Genomic DNA, 5825 nt, shown 5'->3' with positions numbered 1-5825 from the left:
CTGGCTAATTTTTGTATTATTTTATTTCATTTTATTTTGTAGAGGCGGGGTTTCGCCATGTTGGCCAGGCTGCTCTCAAACTCCTGTCCTCAGGTGATCCTCCCGCCTCAGCCTCCCAAAGTGCTGGGATTACCAGCGTGAGCCACTGCGCCGGTCCGTTGTTGTTGTTGTTGTTGTTGTTGTTGTTGAGACAGAGTTTTGCTCTTGTCATCCAGGCTGGAGTGCAATAGTGCCATCTCAACTCACTGCAACCTCCGCCTCCCAGGTTCAAGTGATTCTCCTGCCTCAGCCTCCCCAGTAGCTGGGATTACAGGTGCCCACCACCATGCCCGGCTAATTTTTGTATTTTTAGTAGAGATGGGGTTTCACCATGTTGGCCAGGCTGGTCTCGAACTCCTGACCTCAGATGATCTGCCTTCCTGGGCCTCTCAAAGTGCTGGGATTACAGGCGTGAGCCACTGTGCCTGGCCTCAGAATGAACATTTTTAAATAAAATAACTGATTTATCCTAATCTACCAGTACATAATGGACTCTCAGGACTGGCAGGGAAAAGCATGGAAAGGAAGGACTCAGATAACACCCATGTTTTGGGACATTAGGTCTAATATTGCTAGTAACAGGAGGGAAGTCTAATTGAGTAGTCAGTGAAAGTTTCTAGGAAAAATAAACTCATAACCCAATAATCATGTGAAAATATTTAGCAGCCATTTAGATGTGTTGGCCTAGAAGGGGGTTACTCAACCTCAGAGCAATTAATATTTTGGACCAGATAATTCCTGTGAAGAGCTGTCCTGTGCATTGTAGGATGTAGTATTAATAGCAGCATCCCTAGCCTCTACCCACTAGATGTCAGTAGCACCTACGTCTCCTCCCTGTCTTTCTGCCCATTTGTGACAAACAAAAATGTCTCCAGACATTGCCAAATGCCCTCTAGGAGCAGTCACCCCCAGTTGGGAATCACTGGCCTACAGTATATTGAAACCAAGGCAAAGAGGGTGGAGGCTTGAACCTTGGGGAAATATATTTTATTTATTTATTATTATTATTATTATTATTATTTTTTGAGATGGAGTCTTGCTCTGTCGCCCAGGCTAGAGTGCAGTGGCACGATCTCGGCTCACTGCAAGCTCCGCCTCCCAGGTTCATGCCATTCTCCTGCCTCAGCCTCCTGAGCAGCTGGGACTACAGGCACCCGCCACCACACCCAGCTAATTTTTTGTATTTTTAATAGAGACGGGGTTTCACCGTGTTAGTCAGGATGGTCTTGATCTCCTGACCTTGTGATCTGCCCGCCTCGGCCTCCCAAAGTGCTGGGATTACAGGCTTGAGCCACCGCGCCCGGCCTTACTATTATGTTTTTTTGCGATGGAGTTTCACTCTTGTTGCCCAGGCTGGAGTGCAATGGTGCGATCTTGGCTCACTGCAAGCTCTACCTCCTGGGTTCAAGTGATTCTCCTGCCTCAGCCTCCTGAGTAGCTGGGATTACAGGCGGATGCCACCACGCCCGGCTAATTTTTTTTTTTTTTTTTTAGAGTTTCGCTGTTGTCCAGGCTGGAGTGCAATGGCACGATCTCAGCTCACTGCAACTTCCGCCTTCCCAGTTTAAGCGATTCTCCTGCCTCAGCCTCCTGAGTAGCTGGGATTACAGGCACCTGCCACCACGCCCAGCTAATTTTTTGTATTTAGTAGAGAAGGGGTTTCACCATTTTGGCTAGGCTGGTCTCCAACTCCTGACCTCAGGTGATCTACCCACCTTAGCCTCCCAAAGCGCTGGATTATGGACATGAGCCAATGCGCCTGGGCAGAAATGTGGTTTTTTTTTTTTTTTTTTTGAGACTGAGTCTCACTCTATCACCCAGGCTGGAGTGCAGTGGTGCGATCTCAGCTTGCTGCAACCTCTGTCTCCTGGGTTCAAGCTATTCTCGTGCCTCAGCCGCCTGAGCAGCTGGAATTACAGGTTCACACAACCACACCCAGCTAATTTTTGTATTTTTAGTACAGATGGGGTTTCATCATGTTGGCCAAGCTGGTCTTGAAGTCCTGACCTCAAGTGATTGGCCCGCCTTGGACTCCCAACGTGCTGGGATTACAGGCATAAGCCACCGCACCTGGCCAGAAATGTACTTTTAAAATGAAGGGTGGCCGGATGCAGTGGCTCACTCCTGTAATCCCAGCACTTTAGGAGGCTGAGGCATGAAGATTGCTTGAAACAGGAGTTCGAGACCAGACTGGACAACACAGTGAGGCCCCGTTTCTGGGCACACTTGTGATTTCAGGCACAAGTCACCACGTGGGGGCTTCATCTAATTATTACCTCTGTATATTTTCCATGGTTTCCCATCTTTTACCTCTTTCATTACTACTGCATTTGTTTAGATTCTATCATCCTTGAAGGTCCAGCTGCAACAGCAGCCCCACCCATGCGTCGAAGCCTTCTGAGGTCTTTCCTTCTTCTGAGCTTCTAGGGCATCTTTTACTGTCCCTTCTGCCCTCCAATTGTGCCACCACCAGCCTGGCCAACATGGCGAAACGCCACCTGCTAAAAATACAAAAATTAGCCGGGTGTGGTGGCACATGCCTGTAATCCCAGCTACTCAGGAGGCTGAGGCAGGAGAATTGCTTTAGCTCTGGGAGGCGGAGGCTGTAGTAAGCTGAAATAGTGCCACTGCACTCTAGCCTGGATGACAGAGACTCTGTCTCTAAATAAATAAATAAATAAATAAGCAGGGCTCGGTGGCTCACACTTGTACTCCCAGCACTTTGGGAGGCTGAGGTGGGTGGATCACCTGAAGTCAGGAATTCGAGACTAGCCCGGCCAACATGGTGAAACCCTGTCTCTACTAAAAATACAAAAATTAGCCAAGCATGGTAGTGCGCACCTGTAATCCCAGCTACACGGGAAGCTGAAGCAGGAGAATCGCTTGAACCTGGGAGGCAGAGGTTGTAGTGAGCTGAGATCGCATCATTGCACTCCAGCCTAGGCAACAAGAGCGAGACTCCATCTCAAAACAAACAAAACAAACAAACAAACAAAATGCTGCTCACCTCAGAGGACTAGATGGAGAATTTTTTTTTTTTTGAGTCGGAGTTTTGTTCTTGTTGCCCAGGCTGGAGTATAATGGTGCGATCTCAGCTCACTGCAACCTCTGCCTCCCGGGTTCAAGCGATTCTCCTGCCTCAGCCTCCCGAGTAAGTGGGATTACAGGCATGCGTCACCACGCCCGGCTAATTTTGTATTTTTAGTAGAGACGGGGTTTCACAATGTTGGTCGGGCTGGTCTTGAACTCCTCACCTCAGGTGATCCGCCCGCCTCAGACTCCCAGAGTGCTGGGATTACAGGTGTGAACCACCGTGCCCTGCCTGGATGGGGATAGTTTTGTAAACTATAGAGTGCCCCCAATTTTTAGTAAAGTTACAAAGAATTTTCACACATTTTGAGTTTTATGGAGCTAGAATGCACATCACAAATACACCTATTTGAAGTGTACAATTCAATTTTTGTGCTAGCATGAAAATTTTAGTGCACTTTCATGACCACAAAAAGAAACTGCATATTCATTAGCATTCACTCCCCATTCCCCCTAGTCCTTCTTTTTTTCCCTGGGCCATAGCGTCTGGCCAATGAAACGGATTTTTGTGCTAGCGCGGCCACAATCAGTACTAGTACATTTTCATCACCCCAGAAAGAACCTCTGTATTTATTAGCATTCACTCCCCTTTCCCCGAGTCCTTCTATAGATTTGTGTATTCTAGATATTTCATATTTTATAAAACACCTTCACACATTTTTACTTGACTTCCAGGATTTTTCTTTTCTCTCTTTTTTTTTTTTGAGACAGAATTCCGCTCTTGTTGCCCAGGCTGGAGTGCAATGGCGCGATCTCGGCTCACCACAACCTCTGCCTCCCGGGTTAAAGCGATTCTCCTGCCTCAGCCTCCAGAGTAGCTGGGATTACAGGCATGCGCCACTACGCCCGGCTAATTTAGTAGAGACGGGGTTTCTCCATGTTGGTCAGGTTGGTCTCGAAGTGTGATCCGCTCAAAGTGCTGGGATTACAGGCGTGAGCCACCGTGCCCAGTCCAGGAGGATTTTTCTTTGTAAGAACCTTTTACAATGATCTGTGGGGGTCCATCCCTCCTATTTTACAGGAGAAAATAGACGGTTATCTAGGCTTTGTGAGTGCCAAGTTCGCACGCGGCTTTCGACTCCGTGGCTACATTGTCGGGCCGGGATTTCGCGATTTCGAGGAGGGATGCTCGGCCTCCTCCTACTAGCGTGGTTGGGGCCTCGGCCAGGGCCGAGTTCCGCGGGGGAGAGCCCCAGGGTTCTGCCACCGCACCGTTGACCTAGAATGCACGTGGGGACAGCCAAAGGTCCAGTCTCCAGTCTCGGAACCCGCGGGCCCCCGAACACGTCTGCCTGCTTGGTCTTCTTTGAACCCAAGTCCCACCGCCCACCAGGATCCTAATGACGCCGGCCTGGGGAACTCCCACGCACGCGCCGTTCAAACGCCCCGCCCTCCGCGGCCCAATCACCGCACACCTTGTTTGGACGTTCGACCAGAAGCGTCCTATCAGCGAGCGCGATCCTAGAGACTGACCAGGATCCGTGACGCCCGTTCGGGTGGGCAGTGCCAGTGCGCTGAAGGGCAAGCCTCAGGGGAAGCTTGTTCCTTATTTAGTAAGATTAGCTTGACTAAGGGAGCGAAGGGCGTCACACTGCTTTTGGAAACAGGTGGTGAGGCTGGCGTCGCCATGTTTTCTAAGGGACTTTCTCAGGATCAGATCCAAGAGTGGTCCTTTAGGGCTTTTTTTTTTTTTTTTTGAGACGTTGTCTCGCCCTGTCACCCAGGCTGGAGTGCAGTGGCGCGATCTCGGCTCAGTGCAACTTCCGTCTCTCGGGTTCAAGCAATTCTCCTGCCTCAGCCTCCAGGGTAACTGCGATTACAGGCTCCCGCCACCACGCCAGGCTAATTTTTGTATTTTAAGTAGAGACGGGATTTCACCATATTGGCCAGGCTGGTCTTGAACCCCTGACTTCCAGTGATCCGCCAACCTCAGCCTCCCAAAGGGGCTTTTAAATGTAAGGGCCGCGCAGGGGCTCCGGGTAGGGCATGAAAGGTTGGGAGGGGCCCTAGCCATTGTCTTTTTTGTTATTGTTAAGGCTGACTTTTTTTAGGCTGTCGCCCATTCTAGAATGCAGCGGCGTGATCTTGGCTCACTGCAGCCTCGACTTCCCTGGCTCAAGTGATCCTCCCACCTCAGCCTCCCGAGTTGCTGGGACCACAGGTGCCACACCGCGCCCGCTTAATTTTTTTTTCTTTATATATATTTTTTTGTAGTGACGGGGTTTCGAACTCCAGGACTCAACGGAGCCTCCCATCTCAGACTCTGGGTGAGATTATAGGCGTTAACCATGACTCCCTACCCAGTATAAACTCAAACACACCAGGCGCAGCAGCTCACGCCTGTAATCCCAGCACTTTGGGAGGTGAAGGCAGGTGGATCACCTGAAGTCAGGAGTTCGAGACCAGCCTGGCCAACATGGCGAAATCCCGTCTCTACTAACAATAACAAAAATTAGCTGGGCGTGGTGGCAGGCGCCTGTAATACCAGAGATTCAGGAGGCTGAGGCAGGAGAATCGCTTGAACCCAGGAGGTGGAGGTTGCAGCCAGCCAAGATCGTGCCATTGCACTCCAGCTGGGGCAACAAGAGTGAAACTCTGTCTCAAAAAAACAAAAACAAAAGCAAATAAAATATTGCTGGGCGCGGTGGCTCACACCTGTAATCCCAGCAGTTTGGGAGGCCAAGGCGGGCGGATCA

At 50.0% G+C, this 5825-nt stretch overlaps 2 annotated features.

The window, feature by feature from the left end:
- Positions 3628-4578: an enhancer, noted in NCBI's record as "H3K27ac hESC enhancer chr16:30645739-30646689 (GRCh37/hg19 assembly coordinates)". NCBI's record gives its function as "activates a minimal SCP1, AML or CMV promoter by ChIP-STARR-seq in primed H9 embryonic stem cells {active_cell/tissue: H9 hESC(primed)}" and the evidence as "EXISTENCE:reporter gene assay evidence [ECO:0000049][PMID:30033119]".
- Positions 4579-5530: an enhancer, noted in NCBI's record as "H3K27ac hESC enhancer chr16:30644787-30645738 (GRCh37/hg19 assembly coordinates)". NCBI's record gives its function as "activates a minimal SCP1, AML or CMV promoter by ChIP-STARR-seq in naive and primed H9 embryonic stem cells {active_cell/tissue: H9 hESC(naive and primed)}" and the evidence as "EXISTENCE:reporter gene assay evidence [ECO:0000049][PMID:30033119]".

The sequence above is a fragment of the Homo sapiens genome, chromosome 16 (genome assembly GCF_000001405.40).
Source record: "Homo sapiens chromosome 16, GRCh38.p14 Primary Assembly".
In the NCBI taxonomy this organism is placed as follows: Eukaryota; Metazoa; Chordata; class Mammalia; order Primates; family Hominidae; genus Homo; species Homo sapiens.
This window is presented reverse-complemented; position numbering and strand designations above follow the sequence as displayed.